Below are 24,565 nucleotides of genomic sequence, written 5' to 3'. Positions count from 1 at the left end.
TAGCTGTATTTCTAACATCTATCCATTCCTGAAACACATTTTATGCTCAGAACTTTGTTGAATGAGTGACTGTGGCCAGCCCTCAGCTGTTCCTCTAAGACTCTTCCCATTGCTGGCATACGTCCACAGGGATGCCCAGTGCCCTTGGCCTTAGTTCTAAACGTCCTGTGCTCCCCTCTGCACACCCTTCATCACTTCTCTTTTCCTGCCCCTTCATCTCTGGTGCCTGAATTACTTCTGGCTCCTGTTTCCTCCTCTCTTCCTCTCTGTTGGAAATTGTTGTACTCCTCATCTTCACTTGAGGAGTCCCTCAGGACCTCTTTTCTTAGTCTCCAACTTCCTAGACAACTACCAGGAGTGGAGAAAACTCTCATTCTATGTAACGTTTTTTTTTTTTTTTTTTGAGATGGAGTCTCGCTCTGTTGCCCAGGCTGGAGTGCAGTGACACGCTCTCGACTCACTGCAACCTCCGCCTCCTGTGTTCACGTGATTCTCCTGCCTCAGCCTTCCGAGTAGCTGGGAGTACAGGCATTTACCACCACACCTGGCTAATTTTTGTATTTTCAGTAGAGATGAGGTTTCACCATACTGGCCAGGATGGTCTCAAACTCCTGACCTCAGGTGATCCACCTGTCTTGGCCTCCCAAAGTGCTGGGATTACAGGCGTGAGCCATCACGCCCAGCCCATGTAACATATTAATTACACATTGTGTTAAATGCAAAATCAGATAAACATGTCCTTAAGCTCATGATAATAAATGTAGACTAGACAAAGAAAACCCCAAATACAGGACTTTGTAATCCTCTTCCAGAGAGTTTTCTCCCAATTGCTCTCCATCTATTTAATCAGCATTTTGGTACAGTAATTCATTATTCCTTTAGTCAGCGAAGATCTATTCAATTCTTAATAACTGCAAGGCAATGTCCTTCACATTGTGAATAACACAAAGGTGGATTAGGTATGATTTGTGATCTCAAGATGCTTACTGGCTCGCGATAAAATACTTACAAGTTCTGTGCCACAAAAGTACAGTAAGATTTCAGATAAAATCAGATCTGCACTGTCCCTGAAAATATATTAAGATTTGGAAAGGTCTCAATGTCAGTATGGGTGTGAAGGGTAAGGGGAGTATTTAAGTTTAGGGAAGAGACCCTGCAAAGGCTCAGAGTCAGGACAATTCAAGTGCTGTTAGGAAAACACCAGATAGCTCACCCTGGCCTGAGTGTTTAATACATATAGGGAAAAATTGACTGTACAGTTGTAATGGTAGTTTGGGAGCAGATCAGAGGGTCCTTAGAATTAAGAAGTTTGTAATGAACACTTTGTCATTTTATAGGCAAAGAGGACATTTTACAGGTAATGAGGCTGTGAAAGATTTTGATCAGCAGAAACACTGTATCACAGGAAAATTCACCTGGTAGCAACTATAAACATGGATAGGCATATGAAAAGATTGGAAGTTTGGTTGGAAGTCTATTGAGAGCCCATTCTAATGCAATGGCTCAGACGAGAGGCACTGAGAGCTGAAACATGGGCAGCAGCAAGAGAAACTTAATGGAGAGTGGATTTTTAAAAGGTTCCAGGGAGGTACTTGGCAACAGAGAGTTTTTGAGTGGGAGCGAATAGGAGCTTCCATCCGATGTTATCTTGCATAATCCCTTTAGTACTCAATCAATATTTATTCATCTAATGCTTAAGAATATCATGAGATTTGAGTGGTCAAATGTCTTGTTGAAATGAAAATGTTTTGCTTTTCCATTTTCTTTTCTTTTCTTTCTTTTTTTTTTTTTTTTTTGACGGAGTTTTGCTCCTGTTGCCCAGCTGGAGTGCAATGGTGCAATGACACAATCTGGGTTCACTGCAACCTCTGCCTCCTGAGTTCAAGCGATTCTCTTGTCTCAGCCTCCCGAGTGGGTGGGATTACAGGCAGGTGCCACTACACCTAGATAATTTTTTTTTTTTTGAGATGGAATCTCATTCTGTCACCCAGGCTGGGGTGCAATGGTGTAGTCTCGACTCACTGCAATCTCTGCCTCCCAGTTCAAGTGATTCTCCTCCCTGAGCCTCCCAAGAAGCTAGGACTACAGGTGTGTGCCACCACACCCGGCTAATTTTTGTATTTTTATTTTTATTATTATTATTATTTGAGATGGTGTCTCGCTCTGTCGCCCAGGCTGGAGTGCAGTGGCTTGATCTTGGCTCACTGCAAGCTCCGCCTCCCGGTTCACGCATTCTCCTGCCTCAGCCTCCAGAGTAGCTGGGACTACAGGCGCCCGCCACCACGCCTGGCTAATTTTTTGTATTTTTTAGTAGAGACAGGGTTTCACCATGTTAGCCAGGATGGTCTCGATCTCCTGACCTCATGATCCCCGTGCCTCGGCCTCCCAAAGTGCTGGGATTACAGGCATGAGCCACCGTGCCCTGCAATTTTTGTATTTTTAGTACAGACGGGGTTTCACTGTTGGTCAGGCTGGTCTTGAACTCCTGACCTCAGGCAATCCGCCCGCCTTGGCCTCCCAAAGTGCTGGGATTACAGGCATGACCCACCATGCATAGCCTCCATCACTGCATTTCCTATGCATTTATGTGCAATTATTTTTATTGTGGTAAAAAATACATAACATAAATTTACCATCAATAATTTTTATTTTGTTTATTTGTTCATTTTTAGAGACAGGGCCTCACCGTATTGTCCAGGCCAGCCTCAAACTCTTGGCCTCAAGTGATCTTCCTTCTTCAGCCTCCTCAATAGCTGGGACTACAGGCACATGCCACTGCACCCAGCCCCTCTTATTTTTTTTTTTTTTTTTGAGATGGAGTCTTGCTTTGTCACCCAGGTTGGAGGGCAGTGGTGCAACCTCAGCTCACTGCAACCTCTGCCTCCTGGGTTCCAGTGATTCTCGTGACTCAGCCTCTTGTGTAGCTGAGACTGCAGGCATTTGCCACCATGCCCGCCTAATTGTTTTTGTATTTTTAGTAGAGATGGGGTTTCATCATGTTGGTCAGGCTGGTCTTGAACTCCTGACCTCACGTGATGCACCTGTCTCGCACTACCAAAGTGCTGGGATTACAGGTGTGAGCCACCGTGCTTGGCCTATTTTTAACTTTTTTTTTTAAGTAACTCCATACTGTTTTCCATAGCAGTTGCACCATTTTACAATCCCAACAGTTACAACTCACTTTTGTTTTTATTTATATTTTTCTTTTCTTTGTAGATAAAGGCTTGTTTTGTTTTAATAACTGAACTATGTAATCATGGAGGCTAGTATGTACAGACAAAGGGGGAGGTTTTATTTCTTGGTCTCTTCCTCCTTGAACAAAGTCTTGGTGATCTTCTCCTTCTTGGCTTGGAGGCACTCTTTATGGCGCTTGCGTGCTTCCTTGGTCTTAGACCTTCGGGCCTCAGCCTGGTCAGCCAGGAGCTTCTTTTTTTTTTTTTTTTTTTGAGATGGAGTCCTGCTCTGTTGCCCAGGCTGGAGTGCAGTGGCGCGATCTTGGCTCACTGCAAGCTCTGCCTCCTGGGTTCACACCATTCTCCTGCCTCAGCCTCCCAAGTAGCTGGGACTACAGGTGCCCATCAATGTGCCCCGCTAATTTTTTGTATTTTTAGTAGAGACTGAGTTTCACCATGGTGTCGATCTCCTGACCTCGTGATCCACCCGCCTCGGCCTCCCAAAGTGCTGGGATTACAGGCGTGAACCACTGCGCCCGGCCTCACTTTTAAAATAACCAATTTCAAAATATTTCTGATGACAAATATTAAGCTCATCAGGAGTGATTACTGAAATGTGAATATAGTGGCAGGTAATCCTCATCAGGGCTTGGTCTTCTAATCATCATAGTAGGAGCTCAATAATTATTTGTTAAATGAAAAATTGAACAACTCACTAGACTTTTGCTGTCTTTTGCCACTGTGATTCATAAACTCCTGCAAATGGCCTTGTGATTTCATAGAACCAGATAATGTTGAGAGGTCAAAGGGCTTGAAGATATTTGCTACAGCTCTATAATTTGATGGGTGAAGTTACGTGATTTTTTTCCCCTCAGAGTTGGGACATAGACTTGAATTTGTTAAAGAAATAATTCTGTATATTTATTTTAAACCTACCCTCAGATTTCAGTTCTCTTTAACTATATAGACTCTACTCTTTCTGGTCTAAAAATAATTGTTTTGGAATATGAAAGCAAAATAGGGCTTAGGTAGTTGTTTATCTCAACATTTATCCTCCAGATGGGTAGCTTTGGGAAGTTAGACACTCAGGCACTTCTAACCTCTTTCAGGACCAGCTTAGAAACTACTGAAAGAAGTCACGAGAGTCACCATCAGCATAATCACCAAACAAATTAATCAGCTTTGACTCCTAAAAACTTTTCAATATCAAGCCCACTCTGAAAGGACAAAGATTTGCCACTATTGGGAATATTTATTTACTAAATATAATAATGGCAATTATTTATAGAGCTATGCACCAGGTATTTTCCATGCATGCATCATTTTATATCACAGCAGCCCATCAGTATTCTTCAGTTCTTTTTTTTTTTTTTTTTTTTGAGATGAAGTCTCGCTCTGTCGCCCAGGCTGGAGTACAGTGGCACAATTTCAGCTCACTGCAGCCTCTGGCTCCCGGGTTCAAGCGATTCTCCTGCCTCAACTTCCCGAGTAGCTGGGACTACAGGTGCGTGCCACCACCAATTAACTTTTGTATTTTTAGTATGGACGGGTTTCACCATGTTGGCCAGGCTGGTCTTGAACTCCTGACCTCAGGTGATCCACTCACCTTGGCCGCAAGGTGGTGGGATTACAGGCGTGAGCCACCGTGCCTGGCGCCCATCAATACTATTCTTATTTCCATTACCTGAATTAGGTCTGAGTGCACGAGTGACTTGTCTATATAATGCAAAAATTTGAATGCTAGTCTGTTAGATACCAAAAACCAGACTTTTAACTACCTCAGTATTACACACTATATGCAAGATACTCTGCTGGATGGAAATTGTGGGGCATCACAGAACTAGATAACAAGTCCTTAAATAGCTTATGTAGCCTAGTACATGATATAAGACAAGTATTATACATGAGAGAAAATGTAAGTGTCCAAGCAGACATGTACTGTGTTATTCAGGAAATATAAGCACTTGGGATCGACTAAAAGGGAACAGGGAGAAGGGGAAGGGGGAGAATGTGATACAATGAAAAAAATAGTCTAATGGCAAACAGGAATATCATTTTGTATAAATTTGAATTATCAGAAATTGAAAACGTACTTGCAAATGTTTCGTTTTATTACCTCTCAACGTTTTCCCTTCCCACATACCTTTATTCTGATGCTTAGAAATAGTCCAAATTCATTTAAGTTTCAAATACAGTTTTGGAAGCAACATACCAAGGATATTACTGTTTTACATGCAGTTAAGTTGAAATTGCTAAATAGGCTGTTCCTTACTATAATGAGCTTAAGGGGGAAAGGTAGTGCTATCCTAATGTTCTAAACTATTTTTTTTCACTACTTCTTCATCAGGAGGGTTTATTTACTCACTTATTGGAAACAGGCTGGAGTGCAGTGGCCTGATCATAGCTCACCCCAGCCTCGACTTCTGGTCTCAAGTGATCCTCCCACCCCAGCCTCCCAAGTAGCTGGGACTACTGGAGCGGCTAAGTTTTGGGGGTACGGGGGTCAGTGGTGTGTAGAGACGGGGGCGGTCTCCCTATGTTGCCCAGGTTGGTCCCGAACTCCTGACCTCAAGTGATCCGCCCGCCCCGGTCTCCCAAAGTACTGGGATTACAAATATGAGCCACCGCACCGTCCCAGGAGGATTTCTGGAACGTGCTAAAGGCAGTAAGTGTGTTGATGTCGTGGTAACCAAAGCTAGATTTCCATCAGCAGCTTTCATGAAGGCTAGCTTTTAGCCTGTGCCCTCATCATGTGCCACAGATTCAGTTTTGGATTAGCAAATGTTAATCCACATGTAAACGCTATGATCCACACGCTTAGCAATCTGATTACATTCTTTAAATGTACGTTTTAACTCCTGTTATCCTTAATTAAACTTAGATGTGAACAAATTCACATTTGTGTCTTAGTTTAATTTATAACCAAGTAATCTATCAAAGCCTGCTCCCCCATAGCAAGCTCACAGAATCTACAAATCTCTTGATCTCGCCTCTGCTCTCAGGACAGAGCCTTTTGTGTGCACAGTTCTCACAAATTAAAGAACTTGACTAACTTGAAGAAAAGATAATAAACCCTCTCCCCCTAAAGGCGATTGTTCATTTGAGACCACTCTTCGGAGATATTTTTAAGCCCGCGCTGCATCTAATGGGGGCAGGGAGAAGAAGAGCCGTGCCCAAATGCAGGGGGCATCTCCGGGGGCTTATCATCCGGAGATGCCTCCAGTGGAGCAGACAAATCTCTGAAGTGAGAAAGAGTGAGATTTCCCTGCACCGGGCCTCTGCGTGTGAGGGTAGGAGGGTGTAGGAGGGGGTGGGCGGGGGCCATCAAGGGAGAAGCCTCCGGCCTTTCCCTGTCTCTCAACACTAGCCCTCCCCGGCCGCCTCCCCTTCCCCAATCCTCAACTAGCCGCGGGAGGGGGGCCCCGGAGGCTGGCTGGGCCAGGAGGCTCGGCCTTTGTGGCTCTGTCCCCGACGGTGGCGCGGAGGCAGAGGGGGCGGGGACGCGGGCCGGAGACCCTCAGCCGGGGCTTGACCCCCAGGTGCATTGTCCGGCGGGACCCGTACCCTTCCCCCAGGGCTCCGACCCGGCCGCCACTGGCCCCCTCCCAGCGTCTCCCTCCGCCGGCCGCGCCGACCTCCCTGGCCCAGACCAAGGGCCAGATGTAGAAAGTAGTCCCAGGCCCGCGGCCGCGGCGCTGTCCACTCCGCCGCCCCCGCCCTCTGCAGCCGCCGCCTCACTCCGCCCCCAGCCGGACTCTCAGGCCCCTTGCTTCTCGCGAGCGGCCGTCCGAGCACCAGCCTCGCCGCCGCAGAGACGCTCGCCACGCCGGTGCCGGAGCCGGAGCGGGGAGCCAGGCTGCGTGCGACCAGCCGCAGAGCAGAGAGCGCCCGGGGCGGGGGCCGCAGACGGACAGGGGCTCTGGGCGGCCGGGGAGCATGCCCGCGCGGCTACGCTGAATGGCGCCTCCTCTGCGACCCCTCGCCCGGCTGCGACCGCCGGGGATGCTGCTCCGCGCGCTCCTGCTCCTGCTGCTGCTCAGTCCTTTGCCAGGTGGGCGCGCTTTCTTCTGCTTTCTCTTACCGCTGTGGGGCGGGAGCGGGCGCGAGTGGGATGGGGAAAGAGGAAACGATGGGGCGTGGGGAGCGCGCGGCGGGGTCCTCCGTGGTGGCGCTGACCCCCGGCCCCCGCTCTCGCCCTGCGGCCTGTCCGGAACCGCCAGCTGCAGACACTAGTTGCTTGCGGCCTCTGCGCTGCTTGGGCAGGGCTGCGGGAGCTTCTCCGGGCGCACGCCCCTCCGCGCCGCGCGCCCGTGGCTGCGGAGTTCTGGCGGCCGCTGTCCACTCTGGTCTCTTCCTTCTCGCGCCATTGTCCCGGCTCCGGCCGCGTCCGCGCCTCCGCGACCGGCCGGACTCCGGGTCGCCAGCCCGCCGGGGCCGCCGCGGCTGCACGTGGCTTTATTTATATTGTTTCCTTAGTGGCAGCCTCGCCGTGCAGGGGGCGCCGCGGTTCCTCGCGGCTTCCCGTGTCTGTTGTGGGAGTTCCCCCACTTTTTAGGGCTGCGAGAGGGAATAGGTGAACTCATAACCCCAATCGGCACCAGCTTGCCGGATCTGGATCCAGCCAGGAGGAGATGGGAGGGTGGAATTGGCAGGGTTGGAAGTGAAGTGGCCGATTTGTGCCCCGGAAAGGAGGGGGGAAAAGTCCCCGAAGCTGAAAAGGAAGGTAGGTAAATAGGATTTATCTCCTACAGCTAGGTATTTGGGGGCAGGGCCTGAAGTGTGTACGGCTCTGAAGATTCTTCCAAATTCTAGATTTGCCTTGCACAAACTTGGATGAACTCGTTTTTCTACCTTGCGTCCGTATTGGTTTCCTAGAAGAGATAAAAGTGTAAAGTGAATGGGGTGACGGTAGGAGAGGTGTTCAGGAGAATGGGTTATTTTATTTATTTGCAGGTTACAGACGCTAGGCTTTTTCTGCAATGGGGTTAGTTTCTGTTAGGCTTGAAAAAAGGATCAAAGTCAGATGTGGCTCAGAAACACAATGGGCGCCTTCCGGAGTGGTCCGCGCACAGCGCTGGGCTGTTAGGGTGGCTCGCGTCGCCCTGGGCATACATTACGGGAAGCAGGGAGCCTTGAAGAGTGAGTATTCCGAGGACCTGCCTTGAGGAGAAACAAATCATTTCTGGGGGTTTGTAATCAAGGATCCACAACGATCAGGAGGAAGGTGAAGCAACGCTTCCCCCACACACCCCCATTCTCCATTCACCCCCAATCAATACGTGAGACTTTAAGACGGCCTGTGCACTAAATGCAGGAGGTGACAGAGTATTGTATGGTCATCGAATGCTTTATCCTGGCGAGGGCCCAGGGGCGATGTGTATATGCTTAGGATAAAGCCTTTCCTCTGCTCTGATAAAAATGTGTATTGGTTGATTAAGCGATCTCCTATCCCTATTAGACAGTAAGGACCAATTAGTCACGCATTTTTTCCAACAGTTGGTAGTTCTAGAAAAGTGAAATAAAAGTTTCTTAATCCGATCACCCACTGAGTACAAGCAGCAAGAGTTACCAACTTTTCAAAGTCTATTGTTTGTCTTTTAAATACCTAGCTTGCTTTGCAGAAATTAAGTAAATGGATTTCTTTCAAGGAGAGGAGATAGAGTCCCTGCTGTAAAAGGGCAGATAGAAAAATGCAAACTTGTAATTTGTCACAAAAGATAAACGCAGTTCCCAAAGGAGTAGGTGCCACGGGTTCCAAAAACACTTCAAGGGACAAGGAAATAAACTTGCTTGTTCACAGAGTTGGAGTTTTGCTAATGATTTCTTGTAAAATTAGACTTTTACGACTTACTCTGTTCAAGATCTTTTTGACAAGCTTGTAAAAGCAAACAGCTTGTGCTCATGAGTTTTCCTGATGATTTTGAAACTCTAGCAAGGAACTTGAGAGCAGAATTTATACAAAGCATAGAAGTTATTGAAATCTTCCCTATGCTTTTAGTGAAGATGTAAAAAGTGATTTCTCCGACTTGTTGAAAGAGTTTGCTGAAATTTAGATTGGTTCATTAAGGTGTTTGTAAGTTAACTAATAAAATTTATTAAACTTCGTCATCTCATACCCTGAATATGTGTTTTACAGTTGTGTGTTAAGGAATCATTTTATGCCTGTAATTCTGGATGTGCCGTTCTCCTTTTTTTTCCTTATAGGAGTGTGGTGCTTTAGCGAACTGTCTTTTGTAAAAGAACCACAGGATGTAACTGTCACAAGAAAGGACCCAGTCGTTTTAGATTGCCAGGCTCACGGAGAAGTTCCTATTAAGGTCACATGGTTGAAAAATGGAGCAAAAATGTCTGAAAATAAACGGATCGAGGTTCTTTCTAACGGCTCTTTATACATCAGTGAGGTGGAAGGCAGGCGAGGAGAGCAGTCCGATGAAGGATTTTATCAGTGCTTGGCAATGAACAAATATGGAGCCATTCTTAGTCAAAAAGCTCATCTTGCCTTATCAAGTAAGTGTTTAAGTTTTTAGTTGTTGACATTTTTCATTGCTACATTTTGATGATTTCTTGCTTTATTAATATAATAATCCCCCGAATCATGCATGCATTAAGAATTTTACTGGAGATAATAGTTGATGCTAACTGAGGCATATAGAGAAATCTGAAAAAAATACGTATATAAATTCAAATGAGTAATTGAGAACAGAAGTCAAATTAGGTTTAGAACACCAAGTAAAATGAAACCTGTAGAGGTGGCTTTATAAAAATTTTAAGCATTTCACGAAGTATGAAGAGTTGGATGTAGAAGTTTGGCCAACGCAACAAAAGTTGTTCTAAAATTTAATCTTATGGAAATTAGTAATTAATGAAAACAATCACAAGCAAATTGTTCTGCTTTGCAGATGGTTCTTGAGTGCTAAATCTTTCTTATAGCACAGGCTTCCATTTCTCTGACTGCTTTTAGATCACCCATGTTGCCTTTTAATTGTATGAGAGGGCATTGGTCAGTCACTCTTAAGCCTTTGAAGTATTCCTAGTCTTTTCCTGCTGGGAGGGAAAGAGATTAAGGCCATTTCCATATTATGCCTAATGGACTTAAACCCATATCTGCTCACTTTTTCCCTTTTGTCATAAAGTGTGCTATCTAATGATTTCTTTTGTATTAACATCCCCATCAGATCAACCATTTGTCCAAGTGATCCATTGCTTGGTGGTTGACCTGTAACTGTTGCGTGTAAAGATAGGCCTAGGACAAGTACTGAACTCCTTATGCCCACTGAGGCTTTACATCTTTTTCAGGTGATGAAACACGCAGCTCTCAAGATTAACAGACTAAATCTCGAAAACCAAAATTGAATCTTAAAAGTTTTAAGGCATTTGACCTGCATGCTTTTTGTTAATCCACAAAGCATAGATTTCGCACTATACCTACAAATTGATCATTTACAAGTTGAGCAATAGGTAGATGGCATTCTTGAGATAAAGGCATAATCTTAGCTGGGCTGGTGGCTAGCCTGTAATCCCAGCTATTGAGGAGGCTGAAGCAGGAAGATTCCTTGAGCCCTGGAGTTTGAGTCCAGCCTGGGAAATAGTGAGACTCCATCTCTTTAAGGAAAAAAAAAAAAAAATACAAAACCACCATAATATTTAGGAAATAGTAGTTTCAAGTTCTATACAATTGAAATTTAGGAAGCTATTGGCAGGAATTTCCTAGGTGACTTTACTGTTCATGGTCCATTTATGCCATCCTTATATTAACTATTTTATTCTGCAATAAGGATTAATTGTAGAAAATAAATTGCAAGCAAAGATATTTCTATATTGATACATCAGAAAATCAGAGGTTTGCGGTTCTAGCCACACTCCTACCCCTGCCAAAGACCAGCATAAACCTGAGAGGATTTCTGATTTTTCATTTCTTCCTTCCTCTCTCTCCCCTCCCTCTCCCTCCCTTCCTACTTCCTTCCTTTCTCCCTCCCCCTTCCCTTCCCCCTTCCTTCCTCTGTCTTTTCCTCCTGTCCCTTCCTTCCCTCCCCTCCTCTGCCTACCATTCTCCCTCCTTGTTTCTCTCCCTTCCTTCCTTCCTTCCTCCCTACCTTCCTCCCCCTCCCTCCCTCTCTTCTTCCTGTCTCTTCCCTCCCTCTGCCTGCCTGCATGCCTTCCTTCCCTCCTTCCCCCGTAATCATTGGCCAATAATTATTTTTTTCATGGAGTAATGGTTTTTCTGTATAGTACTGTTTTAAAGATAGTGTGCTTTTTATGCTTATATTCTGTTCATTCAGTTTTTGTCCAATGTAAACTTGTTCTATAGAGTTGTTATTTTCCCACCTTTTAGAGTTTGTAGAATCCTGTGTTTTCATCTTCAGGAACTGTAACTTATCTTATCTTTCAGGGATAGGGAGTACATAGTGGAGGTGGCCAGATAGGCCATGAGAAGATGAAGCATTTGTCATGACCACACATTGTTTCCAGGACCTCCTGAGAAGCCTGATAGAATCCTAGGGCTTCCAGAAACACTTTTGGAAAAACACAGAGCTTTCTAACTTCATAAATAAAATGTGAATGGTGTGTGATAGGTGTAACAAACAAAATGTCAGAACTGGCTTTTTAAATATCTTTAGATTTTTGCATCTCTATAGAAATTATCACTAATAATAAATAATTACATGTGAATGATTTTGCAGACAGTTGTGGTGAAGTTTTTATATTTTATGTATTTTTAAAATTAAAGTTCTGATATCTAAGCAATAAATTTAGATGATGGAGGCTCAAATCCCTTTATCCTGTGTTCAGAGTAAATATATATATATATATATATATTTACAGGAAGAGTGTGTGTGGTGTGTGTGTGTGTGTGTGTGTGTGTATATATATATATATATATATATAGAGAGAGAGAGAGAGAGAGAGAGAGAATAGGCATTAAGTGGACATTCTGGTTTTCTTTTCCCCCTTGTTTTTAAAGCTAGTTCTCTTTTAGGTATTGATAGCAGCAGGGTACAAGTGTGTTTTTTTTCTTAGTCAAGGATTTTGTCAGTAAGCATATTTTTTTGGTTGTACAGAAGCACAATAGTACAGCACCTGGAAATCTAAAACTTCAATCTGTGCAAGTTTTAGATTTTTAACACACAGGCAATCAAGTCTTGGTCTCTAAACTTAGGAACTAGAAGCTGAAAGTTGCACTCTAGGCAAGAATTCCATTATTCATGTGTAAATTAGGAATTCACAGGGTTAAAAGGTTAGAAACTGGCCAGGATGAGGTTTACCCTTGTGATAAAGAGCAGATGACCCTCATTCATTGGCCAAAGCTTTCATGTAGCTCTTCTGCAAAGTTAGTTATTGCCATGAATTGTTCTTGAGGAATGCAGAAATTCAAATGTGAACAGGCCTTTCCTTAAGTGTCACTATGGAGCCTTATCTCCCAAGCACATCAGAGCAGGGCTGCAGGGACAAGGTTCCTCCCCAAAGGCCTGGAGGCTTTGCTTTCCTGTTGTTCATTCAAGCACAAAAGAATTCATCTAACTTAGTTTTGCTAAGGCATCCCATTTTTAAAAGAAAGTATAGGGTTAAAGTAATATTTAGCTTTAAAAAAAGATAATCCTTTTTATTAATAGCCGTGTTAGCGGCCTTACATTTTCATGTAATTGGAATAGAAAGAGGAGTGACATGGGATGCCCTTTTTCTAGCTGTGTACAATAGCAAGAACAGAAGATTAAACCATTTCCTATAAATTTCAGTATTTTTAAATTTAGCAAATCAAGTTTTCACTTTCATGGGTACTAAGTCTTTGTTATCTAAATTTAAATATTTTAGGAATAAGAAATGATCTATGGTTATCTTGACTTTTCTTGTATTCTTAATGTTGAAATAGGTAAGATAAATTTCGTAGGAAAGCATTAGTGTGGTAAAATGGTCTCACGTTTCAACAAGTTTAAATTAAGAGACATTTGAGAGAAGTAAAGGAGGAGGCGGGTTGTGTTCTGTGATGTGTAAAAGACTGGCTGTAAGCTAGTGATTGAACAGGAAGCTAGTTGTTTATTTCCTTTCCATAAAAGGTGGAAACTGAAGTCTTAGGATAGAGGGAAAAAGAACATAAAGCTAGCTTATATTTCTTTGATTTTCCAGGACTGTTCACTTGGGTAAAAAATAATTTTTTATGTGACCCTTTGTAGCTGGAAGAGCATAGGAATTATTGTAACTTTATGATTTTTTAACCAAAATTTTGAGGTTGAGTTTGCCTTTGGTAAGGTTGTTTGGGGGTGCATTTCTATAACTTTTTAAGTAGTAGTAGTTGTTTCCATTAAAAGGGTATAGGTTTTTTATTAATAAAAACATACATCAATTTAAGTTAAGATGAAATTTGAGGGTTTATGTGGGATTCATGAAAAACTGTTCTTTGGGTGAGGCTTGCGTATTAAAAAGTAATGCATAAATTATAATACCAAGTCTTTGAAATGTGAAGTTAAAAATATATTAAAAACATTTATAAAGAGTCATGTTAAAAAAAAAAAGATGGGGAAGTGATACGTTGAAAAGAGAACCTAAGAACTGTGAGACTATATGCTAGATTTTGGATTTTATTAATGATCCTGGACCTGAAATAGGCAAGACTTTGCTACACGGTCACTGTTTTATTGAGAGCTGTAGGCACTGGAAAGGACTGAGTCTCTTACCTGCGTGCCTATTCACTTGAAGTCAAGCTGTGAGCAGTTACCTGGCCTAATTCAAGAATGCTAAAACATGAGTAAAAGTCATTTGATTTTGGAAAACTCAAACCAACAGAACTGAGGTATGTAGAGAAACCAATCTGCCAACACTGTAGATAAGGTTCAGTTGATGTTTTCTGGGATCCAAAAAAATTCGCCTTTAAAAAGAGGAGGTGTGTTTCAGAAGTTATGTTTAACTTAAAATTGGCTCTCAATATTACATAAGTCAAGTGAAGGAAGTAGAAATTGCATATATAGTTCTACAGGCTTTTTTAGAATGACATTTGGTTCTTAAAGTCTGTCTACTTAAAGTCTGTTTATCAGGTGCCTGATAATCTCTGGGTAATGGAACCAGTTTTTCTCACTTTGCCCTAGATTAGTGAGGATCATTTCTCATTTTCAGCAACCTGTAACATTATCTCACTTTTTTTCAAAGTTGGTGGAATTTTTTTTTTTTTTTTTTTTTTAGCAAAGCATGGTCCAGTGAGGGGTAGAATTAGAATTTTCTTTAAGATGTATAAAAATGTACTTATTTTATTTTGTTTTATTTATGTCCAGATTCTTAATGGAATTTTGAAAGGGTATTTGGTATGGCTCCTTTTTGTCAACTATCTCTGATTATTCTAAAGAAAGGATCTCACTCTCAGTGGTCGTTTGCTCTGGGATTTGTTGTCATTGCTCCCAAATTTAACAGCTGGGTCTATTGATGAAGTCCAGAGCAATTTAAAATAATAGGAAGCAACAAATCTTTTAAGCAGGGTTTTAGGCTAAGGGAGTATTTTAATTAATAAATAAAATACATTTGAGGTTACCTTTTTGAAAACCACGATATTCTTGACTGCAGTTTTGAGAGATGATTTTTATCTCTCATGAACAAGGTTGCTCAGTTAGAATTGATTATTTAAAGCATTTAAACTGATAATTACCATTTATATGAAAAAGAATGTTAAGTCAGGCATTTTGTTGAGGATCCTACTTGGATTTAAAAACAGCTATGATTATTGAGATGTTTTAAAAGAAATCATAAAAATCCTCCCAAATTAAGTTTTCATTGTCAGTCAAGACTATTTTAATACTTTTGAGAGTTTACAGTGCCCAGACTCTTCATTAAATCTTTAAAAAAATCATCATTTTAATCTTGGTAAATAAGAAAGGAAAAGGAAGATGCTGTTGTAATCATTTAAGTAATATTTGCAGTTGCCCTAACATGGTATGCTGCACAGAGCAGAGCAAGCTCACAGTAAACAATTGATAATTGCAGTGTACAAAAAAGGTAGAAAACATACCAAATTATCTTCACCAGCTCTAATTCTGAAGCCAAGTGAACTGCTGTAAGGATATGTATGCAGAGGATAAAGGCGTCATCCTCACAAAGGTCTCTGACACTAATCTGACAAATACTTTCCTGACTTTTACATTCCTTGTGTGTTTTTTTTTAACCTCTGGTTCTCAGAAACTACTTTTGATGAGCGTTTAAAAACCAAAATCTTATAGACTGAGCAGAAGGCATGAATTTAAAAATGTTTGTTTTTTCAGTTTCCAGAGGATTTGCCCTTTTTTCGTGTTTATAATACATATATATGTTATATATATATATAAAATAGCTTTAGCATTTATAGTGGCTAGATTATGAATAACTGTTAGAGAATGTGATCATTGTTCAGGTCTCTGGTTTCAAATTGGTGTCCTTATTGGATTTAGTCCTTAAAACTTACAGAAAGAAAATTTTCTTTTTAAAGCTTACTTCTTGAAGCAATATTAAATCCCTAGGAGTTTAGCTAGAACAGTGTGACAGCTTTTTTTTCCCTTAATGTTGCTGTTTTATGCAGACTACTTTAAATAAATCATATTCTTTTGGAATAATCCTCCAGAGTCACCCTTTTAAAGTTTTGTAGTCTTTTAAAACTACTCAGAATGTGATTGACTCAGTGGCTTATCTTCCATTCTACTAATATTTACCAAAAAGAAAAAGGATATTTCTGCCTGTGGTAGTTAGGTATCTCAGCCTTGGCACAACTGACATTTTGGGCCAGATAATTTTCTGTTGTGGTGCTGTCCTGTGCGTCGTATGCAGTGTTAGCGGCATCCCTGGCCTCTACCCTCCCAATACCGATAGACTCTCTTCCAGTTGTGACAACCAAGAAAGTTCTACTGTGGGGCAAAATAACTCCTGATTGAGAATCCCTGATGTTTCCGAAAGTAGTAGAACACTTTCCAGTGATGTTGGACAATTTGTTACTTTAACTGTTTCTATCTTATCCTTGATATTCTACTTGTTTTGGTGGTAGCAGTGCTAAATGTATTCCTTGGAGAACGATTTGCTGTTTTTGTTGTTGTTGTTGTTGTTGTTTTTGTTGTTGAGTCAGAGTCTTGCTCTGTCATCCAGGCTGGAGTACAGTGGTGCAGTCACGGCGTCCTGCAGCCTGGACCTCCTGGGCTCAAGTGATTTTCCCTCTTCAGTCTACCGAGTAGCTGGAGCTACAGGCACGTGCCGCCATGCACAGCTAATTTTTAAATTTTTTGTAGAGAGAGGATCTTGCTATGTTGCCCAGGCTGACCTTGAACTCCTGGGCTCAAGCATTCCTCCCACCTTGGTTTCCCAAAGTGCCAGGATTATAGGCATGAACCATCGTGCTTGGGCTCCGTTTACTTTTTTTTTTTTTTTTTTTTTGTTTGAGACAGAGTTTTGCTCTTGTTGCCCAGGCTGGAGTGCAATGGTGTGATCTTGGTTCACCACAACCTCCGCCTGTGGGTTTCAAGCAATTTTCATGCCTCAGCCTCCCAGGTAGCTGGGATTACAGGCATGCGCCACCATGCCTGGCTAATTTTGTATTTTTAGTAGAGACAGGGTTTCTCCACGTTGGTCAGGCTGGTCTCGAACTCCCAACCTCAGGTGATCTGACCACCTCAGTCAGCCTCCCAAAATGCTGGGATTACAGGTGTGAGCCACCACGCCTGGCCTCCATTTACTATTTTTTGAGACAGAGTCTTGCTCTGTTGCCAGGCTAGAGTGCAGTGGCGCAATCTCGGCTCACTGCAACCTCTGCCTCCCGGGTTCAAGCGATTCTCCTGCCTCAGCCTCCTGAGTAGCTGGGACTATGGGCACGTGCCACTATGCCCGGCTAATTTTTATATTTTTGGTAGAGATGGGGTTTCCCCATGTGACCAGAATGGTCTCGATCTCTTGACCTCGTGGTCTGCCCGCCTCAGCCTCCCAAAGTGCTGAGATTACAGGCATGAGCCACTGCGTCCAGCCACCATTTACTATTTTTAAGCGTTGTATATATTTTTTTAAAATGTGTTTGGCCTACTACCTAAATTGGAGTGACAGTGCTTTTCCAATCCCTTTTTCACACACATAATACATTGAAAACTGCTGTTAAGGGTTTACCGGCTGGGCATGGTGGCTCACGCCTGTAATTCCAGCACTTTGAGAGGCCAGGGCCGGCGGATCACCTGAGGTTGGGAGTTCGAGACCAGCCTGACCAACATGGAGAAACCCCCTCTCTACTGAAAATACAAAACTAGCCGGGTGTGGTGGCACATGCCTTTAATCCTAGCTACTCGGGAGGCTGAGGCAGGAGAATCCCTTGAAGCCAGGAGGCGGAGGTTGCAGTAAGCTGAGATCGCGCCATTGCACTTCAGCCTGGGCAGCAAGAGCGAAACTCCGTCTCAAAAAAAAAAAAAAAAAAGTTTACCCTGGCCAGGCGCAGTTGCTCATACCTGTAATCCCAGCACTCTGGAAGCCTGAGGCAGGTAGATCAGTTGAGGTCAGGAGTTCGAGACCAGCCTGGCCAACATGGTGAAACACCATCTCTACTAAAAATACAAAAATTAGCTGGGTGTGGTGGCATACGCCTGTAATTCCAGCTACTCGGGAGGCTGAGGCAGGAGATTTGAACCCAGGAGGCGGAGGTAGCAGTGAGCCCAGATTGTGTCACTGCACTCTAGCCTGGGTGACAGAGTAAGACTCTGTCTCAAAAAACAAAAACAAACAAATCTAGTCATGTGCAGTGTAACAACATTCCAGTCAAACAATGGACCACATATTATGACAGTGGTTCTGTTCTATAAGATGATAATACCATATTTTTACAGTGCCTTTTCTGTGCTTACATATGTTTAGATACACAAATACTTCCCATTGTGTTACAGTTGCTGCCCTTTTCAGTACCATTACATGCTGCACAGGTTTGTAGCCTAGGAGCGATATAGCTGAGGTGTGTAGTAGGCTATACCATCTAGGTTTGTGTAAGTCTGCTCTATGATGTTCACATGACAGAATCACCTAACGATGTGTTTCTCAGAACGTATCTCTGTCATTAAGTAATGCAAGACTGTATATGTCTGGTTTTGCTAATAATTAGTAGTATATTCCAGTGTTTGTTGACTCAGTATTTTAAAAAACACAGTTCTGACTTTATCTTGAGAGTTTTGCTAATGTATTAGTATTTTAATACTGGTTGATTATACTGGTTCCCCACTCCCACCGATTGCTATTAAGAATGGTAAGGTGTGGCTGGGCATGGTGGCTCACGCCTGTAATCCCAGCACTTCGGGAGGCTGAGGCGGGCGGATCATGAGGTCAGGAGTTCAAGACCAGCCTGACCGACATGGTGAAACCCCATCTCTACTAAAAATACAAACATTATCTGGGTGTGGTGGTGTGTGCCTGTAATCCCAGCTACTCGGGAGGCTGAGGCAGGAGAATCCCTTGAACCTGAGAGGCAGAGGTTGCAGTGAGCCGAGAGCATGCCGTTGTACTCCAACCTGGGCGACAGAACAAGACTGCATCTCCAAAAAAAAAAAAAAAAAAAAAGAATGATAAGGTGTAATTTCTTCTCCCTCAGCTTTCAGATTGAACTAACTTGAGTCCTCTGGCGTCCCCTGATGGGATTTAAAGTAACTCAGATTAAAATATTGACCCCAAAGTGGACTTACAATAGGAAGAGATGTAACCAGCTTAACATACTAGAATTAAAGAAGCTAACAATTAGAAGTTTTTCCCTGTTAGGCAGCTTTCAGAAGGGGATGAAATTGGACAAATAAATAAATAAAAGAGAGACAAAGTACATCATTATTTTCCACTGATCTCCCAATGTTTAGACTTGTTAAGATACTGGCAGTGAATATTTTGAGGAGAGAAATTTAAGATTCCTTAAAACTTACTCTGTAGTCAATAGAGAATCCTTGCCTACTTTCACTTGCAATATCATTATGCCTTCCTCTTCCTTAAGTAAAGATCGCAACTTCTGTAGTCTTAGAAACTTATTTTGCAAATAAGGAATAGGAAGCTGGGAGGGGGTAAGTGCCTTTCTCAAGGGCACAGCTACTATCTAGCACCAGAGCTCAGGTTTTGTTATTATAGTCGTGACTTTTATTTTGAGACAGAGTCTTGCTCTCTGTTGCCCAGGTTGGAGTGCAGTGGCGCCATCTCGGCTCACTGCAAGCTCCGCCTCCCGGGTGCATGCCATTCTCCTGCCTCAGCCTCCCAAGTAGCTGGGACTACAGGCACCCACCACCACGCCTGGCTGATTTTTTGTATTTTTACTAGAGATGGGGTTTCACTGTGTTAGCCAGGATGGTCTTGATATCCTGACCGTGTGATCCGCCCGCCTGGGCCTCCCAAAGTGCTGGGATTACAGGCTTGAGCCACTGCATCTAGCCTATAGTCACTACTTCGCAGTGCTTAAATAAAGCTTTTCCCTGTGAGTTGTGTGGAGATGTATCTTTTTGTATTCAAATATATATAATCAAATCCAGAATATAAAAAAGAATGGTAACGGCCAGGTGCTGTGGCACATGCCTGTAATCCCAGCACTTTGGGAGGCCGAGGTGGGAGAATCACTGTCGGTCAGCAGTTCAAGACCAGCCTGGCAAACGTGGTGAAACCCTGTCTCTACTAAAAATACAAAAATTAGCTGGGCGTGGTGGCAAGTACCTGTAATGCCAGCTACTCAGGAGGCTGAGGCAGGAGAATCTCTTGAACCTGGGAGGCGGAGGCTGCAGTGAGCTGAGGTCATGCCGCTGCACTCCAGTATGGGCAACGGAGAGAAACCCCATCTCAAAAAAAAAGTAACAACGCTGAAATTAAAGACATTCCTTAGTTTCTTAATTAAAAAAGCGACTTTCATTTTTGTGCAACACACCCATTACTACTATACTTGTGTAAGGTTTCTTGTTGTATAAGGTGATTTTTAAAATAAATTGCTAATGCATTTCTATTTTCAGCTGTCCTGTAACGCTTCATGGAATTTCTTTTCTTGTGTATATCCTCCGTGCATGGAGGTTGAGCTCCAGTCCTTTTAGGGGTTTGGCATTTGTTGATACATCTGTCCAAATGGAAGTTTGATCTAAAGCAGTGATTTTCAACATGTCTTTGAAGAACCACCAATGGAGTGAGACTCTTTTATAGTCAAAAGATTGAGTTTTAAATAAATGGTTAAGTACATGTCATTATTATTGCATGGAAACAGGACATAGTGACAGCCTCTGTCTATCATGGAATTAAAAAAATAAGTTTTATTAAGATATAAAGTTCACCCTTTTAGATATACATATATATATTTATTTTATTTTATTTTATTTTATTTTTTTTCCCCGCAGAATCTTGCTATGCCCAGGCTGGTCTGGAACTCCAGTCCTCCTGCCTCAGTCTGCTGAGTAGCTGGGATTATAGGTGTGTGCCAGTGCACCTGGAACACCTTTATAAAGTATAGAGTTCAGTGGGTTTTGTGCGTCTGCCTCACCACTGTCTAATTCCAGAAAATTTTCATCACCCCAAAAAGAAAGCTGTGTTCGATAGCAGTCACTCCCCATTTCCCCCTTCCTCTAGCAGCCACGAATTTACTTCTTGTCTCAGTGGATGTGCCTATATGTGGTATGTCATATCAATGAAATCATATAATATGTGGTCTTTGTGATTGTCTTCCTACACTTAGCATGTTTTCAAGGTTTATCCACGTTGTGGCGTGTATCAGTACTTCATTCCTTTTTGTGGCCAAATAAGATTACATTGTGTGGATAGACCATGTTTTGTTTACCCGTTCATCTGTTGGACACTTGAATTGTTTTCATCTGTAGTGAACATTTGCCTTTTCACTTTCTTGATACTGTTTGTAGTTTTCAATGTACAGTCTTTTACCTTTTTGCTGAAATTTATATCTGGGCATCTTATTCTTTTAGATGCTATTGTAAATGGAATTGTTTAATTTCCTTTTCAATTACTTTATTGCTGTTGTGTACATAAACACAACTGCTTTATGCATGTGGATCTTATACTCTAAAACTCTTCTGAATTCATTTATTAGCTCTAGTAGCTTTCATGTGGATTCCTTGCAATTTTCTGTAAATAGGATCATATAATCTATGAGTGATACAGCTTTATTTCTCTCTCTCCAATTTGGATGCCTTTTTTTTTTTTAGACTAATTGCTCTGTCTAGAATTTTTAGTACAATGTTAAATCACAGTGGTGATAGCAGAGATCATTGTCTTTTTCTTGATCAGAGGAGAAAAGCTTTCAGTCTTTCACCTTTGAGTATGATATTGTGAGGCTTTTTAAATAAATGCCCTTTATCATGTTGAGAAATTTTCCTTCTCTTCCTAGTTTTCTAAGTATTTATATTATGAAGGTGTATTGGATTTTTTCAAATGCCTTTTTTGTATCAACTGTGCTAATCATCTTTTTTGTTTGTTCTATCAATTATTTGATTAATTTTCTTCTGTTGAACAACTTTTACATTCCTGGGATAAAAGTGAGATAAATCCTACTTGGTCAGTATAATTCTTTTAATATGTTTTTGGACTTGGTTTGCTAACAGTTTGCTGAGATTTTGCATCCATATTCATAGAAGATAATTTTCTTTTCTTGTGATTATCTGTCTGGCTTTGATAGTGGAGTAGGTGTCATAGAATATGTTAGGAAATATTCCCTATATAATATTCCCTATAAAAATACTGTATTGTTTTGGAAGATTTTGAGAAGAATTGGTATTAATTCTTTTTTACATTTTTTGTGGAGGCCAGGCACAGTGGGTCATGCCTGTAATTCTAGCACTTTGGGAGGCCGAGGTGGGCGGATTGCCTGAGCTCAGAAGTTTGAGACCAGCCTGGGCAACATGGTGAGACCCCGTCTCTACTAAAAACACAAAAAATTAGCTGGGCATGGTGGGACACACCTATAGTCCCAGCTACTCAGGAGGCTGAGACATGAGGATCGCTTGAACCTGGGAGGCGGAAGTTATAGTGAGCCAAGATCGTGCCACTTCACTCCAGCCTGGGTGACAGAGACTCTGTCTCTAAATAAACAGATAAATAAATTTTGTGGAATTCACTTGTGAAGTCACCTGGTTCTGGATTTTTCACTGTTGGGTGTTTCTTTTTTTCTTTTGAGTTGGAGTCTCGCTCTGTCGCCAAGGCTGGAGTGCAGTGGCGCCATCTTGGCTCACTGCAACCACTGCCCGCTGGGTTCAAGTGATTCTTCTGCCTCAGCCTCACGAGTAGCTGGGACTACAGGTGTATGCCACCACGCCCTGCTAATTTTTGTATTTTTAGTAGAGACGGGGTTTCACCATGTTAGCTAGGCTGGTCTCGAATTCCTCACCTCAGGCAGTCCTCCCACCTCAGCCTCCCAAAGTGCTGGGATTACAGGCGTGAGCCACCATGTCCGGCCTATTGTTGGGAGATTTTTTATTCAATCTTTTCACTTGTTATAAGCCTGTTGTAATTTTATATTTCTTCTTCAGTCAGTTTAGGTAATTTGTGTTTTCCTTGGAATTTGTCCATTTCATCTAGGCTATCTGATTTGTCAGTTCATAGTATTTTCTTATCATCTTTTTTATTTTTTTTAAGTCAGTAGTAAAAATTTCATGTCTGATTTTAGTTATTTATATCATCTCTCTTTTTTTTCTTGGTCAGTCTAGCTAAAGTTTTGTTAGTTTTGTTCATCTATTCAAAAATGAACAAATTTTTCATTTTCCTGATTTATTATTTCTTTGTTTTTTTTATTTCATTTATCACCACTCTAGTCTTAATTATTTCCTTCCCTCTGCTAGCTTTGGGTTTAGTTTTCACTTCTTTTTCTGGTTCTTCAAGGTGTAAAATTAGATTATTGATTTGAGATTATTCTTCTTTTTAAATATGTTTATAGCCACCAGTTTCCCTCTGAGCACTGCTTCCACTGCATCCCATAAGTTTTGGTGTGTTACAGTTTTTCTTTTTCTTTTTTTTTTTTTTGAGACGGACTCTTACTCTGTTGTTGCCTGGGCTGGAATGCAGTGGCGTGATCTCGGCTCACTGCAAACTCTGCTTGCCCAGACTCAAGCAGTCCTCCTGCCTCAGCCTCCTGTATGTTTTCATTTTCATTTGTTCCAAAGTATTTTCTAATTTTCTTCGCATTTTCTTCCTTGACCCATTTGTTAAGAATATGTTGTTTAATTTTCATATATGTGTGAGTTTTCCAGTTTTACTTCTGGTTTAAGTTTTATTCCATTGTGTTTGGAGAAAATACTTTTTATAATTTTAATCTATTTTTTTTTTTTTTTTGAGACGAAGATTCGCTCTTGTTAACACTTGTTACCCAGGCTGGAGTGCATGGCATAGCCTCGGCTCACTGTAACCTCCACCTCCCGGGTTCAAGCAATTGTCCTGCCTTGGTAGCTCCTTTGTCTCTCATGACAGTTTTTACTTAAAGTCTATTTTTTTCTGATGTTAGTACAGCCTCCCCAGCTCTCTTGGTTACTTACCATTTGCATGGAATACCTTTTTCCATTCTATCTATTTGCGTCTTTGGATCTAAAGTTAGTCTCTTGGCTGGGCACAGTAGCTCATGCTTGTAATCCCAGCACTTTGGGAGGCCGAGGCAAATGGATCACCTGAGGTCAGGAGTTCGAGACCAGCCTGGCCCACAAGGTGAAACCCCATCTCTATGAAAAATAGAAAAATTAGGGCTGGGTGCAGTGGCCCACACCTGTAATCTCAGCACTTCGGGAGGCTGGGCGGTTGGATTACGAGGTCAAAAGATTGACACAATCTTGGCCCACATGGTGAAACCCCGTCTCGACTAAAAATACAAAAATTAGCTGGGCGTCATGGCACGTGCCTATAATCCTACTACTTGGGAGGCTGAGGCAGGAGAATTGCTTGAACCTGGGAGGCGGAAGTTGCAGTGAGCCGAGATCACGCCACTGCACTCCAGCCTCGCAACAGAGTGAGACTCTGTCTCAAAAACAAAACAAAAAACCTAAAATTAGCTGAGTGTGGTGGTGGGTCCCTGTAATCTCAGCTACTCCGGAGGCTGAGGCAGAAGAATTGCTTGAACCTGGGAAGCAGAGGTTGCAGTGAGCTGCGATGGCACCACTGCACTCCAGCCTATGTGACAGAGTGAGACTGTGTCTCAAATAGATAAATAAAGTTAGTCTCTTGTAGACAGCTTACAGTTCAATCATGAGTTTTTAAAAATCCATTTTGTCAACCTTTTCTTTTTGATGGAGAGTTTAATCCACTTGCATTTATTGTAATTACTGATAAGGAAGGACTTCTGCCATTTTGCTGTTTGTTTTCTGTATGTCTTTCACCCCATTTTTTTTTTTTTGAGACAGGGTCACTGTCTCACCCAGACTGGAGGGCAGTAGCACGATCACGGCTCACTGCATCCTCAACCTCCCCAGGCTCAGGTGATCCTCTCACCT

General features: G+C 42.3%; 1 protein-coding gene across 5 annotated transcripts in view, besides 7 other annotated features; it reads left to right on the top strand.

Moving 5' to 3' along the window:
* Nucleotides 5,176-5,675: an enhancer, noted in NCBI's record as "H3K4me1 hESC enhancer chr15:56036585-56037084 (GRCh37/hg19 assembly coordinates)". NCBI's record gives its function as "activates a minimal SCP1, AML or CMV promoter by ChIP-STARR-seq in primed H9 embryonic stem cells {active_cell/tissue: H9 hESC(primed)}" and the evidence as "EXISTENCE:reporter gene assay evidence [ECO:0000049][PMID:30033119]".
* Nucleotides 5,676-6,177: an enhancer, noted in NCBI's record as "H3K4me1 hESC enhancer chr15:56036083-56036584 (GRCh37/hg19 assembly coordinates)". NCBI's record gives its function as "activates a minimal SCP1, AML or CMV promoter by ChIP-STARR-seq in primed H9 embryonic stem cells {active_cell/tissue: H9 hESC(primed)}" and the evidence as "EXISTENCE:reporter gene assay evidence [ECO:0000049][PMID:30033119]".
* PRTG (protogenin) overlaps nt 6,910-24,565 on the top strand; it is a 131,609-nt gene continuing 113,953 nt past the window's right edge. For 4 of the 5 annotated variants that reach the window (NM_173814.6, XM_017022082.3, XM_011521460.3 and 1 more), the window contains exons 1-2: nt 6,910-7,224; nt 9,378-9,680. In NM_173814.6, the coding sequence (NP_776175.2) occupies nt 7,131-7,224; nt 9,378-9,680 (397 nt within the window). In that variant the 5' untranslated portion in view covers nt 6,910-7,130. Of the gene's footprint in view, nt 7,225-7,754; nt 7,897-9,377; nt 9,681-24,565 lie in introns of those variants that run through there. The other variant, XM_017022081.3, reaches the window with a different exon arrangement.
* Nucleotides 6,992-7,141: a silencer, noted in NCBI's record as "silent region_6458". NCBI's record gives its function as "represses an Ori minimal core promoter by ATAC-STARR-seq in GM12878 lymphoblastoid cells {active_cell/tissue: GM12878}" and the evidence as "EXISTENCE:reporter gene assay evidence [ECO:0000049][PMID:35858748]".
* Nucleotides 6,992-8,031: a biological region, named in NCBI's record as "OCT4-NANOG-H3K27ac hESC enhancer GRCh37_chr15:56034229-56035192".
* Nucleotides 7,068-8,031: an enhancer, noted in NCBI's record as "OCT4-NANOG-H3K27ac hESC enhancer chr15:56034229-56035192 (GRCh37/hg19 assembly coordinates)". NCBI's record gives its function as "activates a minimal SCP1, AML or CMV promoter by ChIP-STARR-seq in primed H9 embryonic stem cells {active_cell/tissue: H9 hESC(primed)}" and the evidence as "EXISTENCE:reporter gene assay evidence [ECO:0000049][PMID:30033119]".
* Nucleotides 7,172-7,231: a silencer, noted in NCBI's record as "silent region_6457". NCBI's record gives its function as "represses an Ori minimal core promoter by ATAC-STARR-seq in GM12878 lymphoblastoid cells {active_cell/tissue: GM12878}" and the evidence as "EXISTENCE:reporter gene assay evidence [ECO:0000049][PMID:35858748]".
* Nucleotides 13,647-14,148: an enhancer, noted in NCBI's record as "NANOG hESC enhancer chr15:56028112-56028613 (GRCh37/hg19 assembly coordinates)". NCBI's record gives its function as "activates a minimal SCP1, AML or CMV promoter by ChIP-STARR-seq in naive H9 embryonic stem cells {active_cell/tissue: H9 hESC(naive)}" and the evidence as "EXISTENCE:reporter gene assay evidence [ECO:0000049][PMID:30033119]".

Source organism: Homo sapiens, chromosome 15, assembly GCF_000001405.40.
Source record: "Homo sapiens chromosome 15, GRCh38.p14 Primary Assembly".
Classification (NCBI taxonomy): Eukaryota; Metazoa; Chordata; class Mammalia; order Primates; family Hominidae; genus Homo; species Homo sapiens.
The sequence above is the reverse complement of the archived record's forward strand: the minus strand, read 5'-3'. Positions and strand labels throughout refer to the sequence as shown.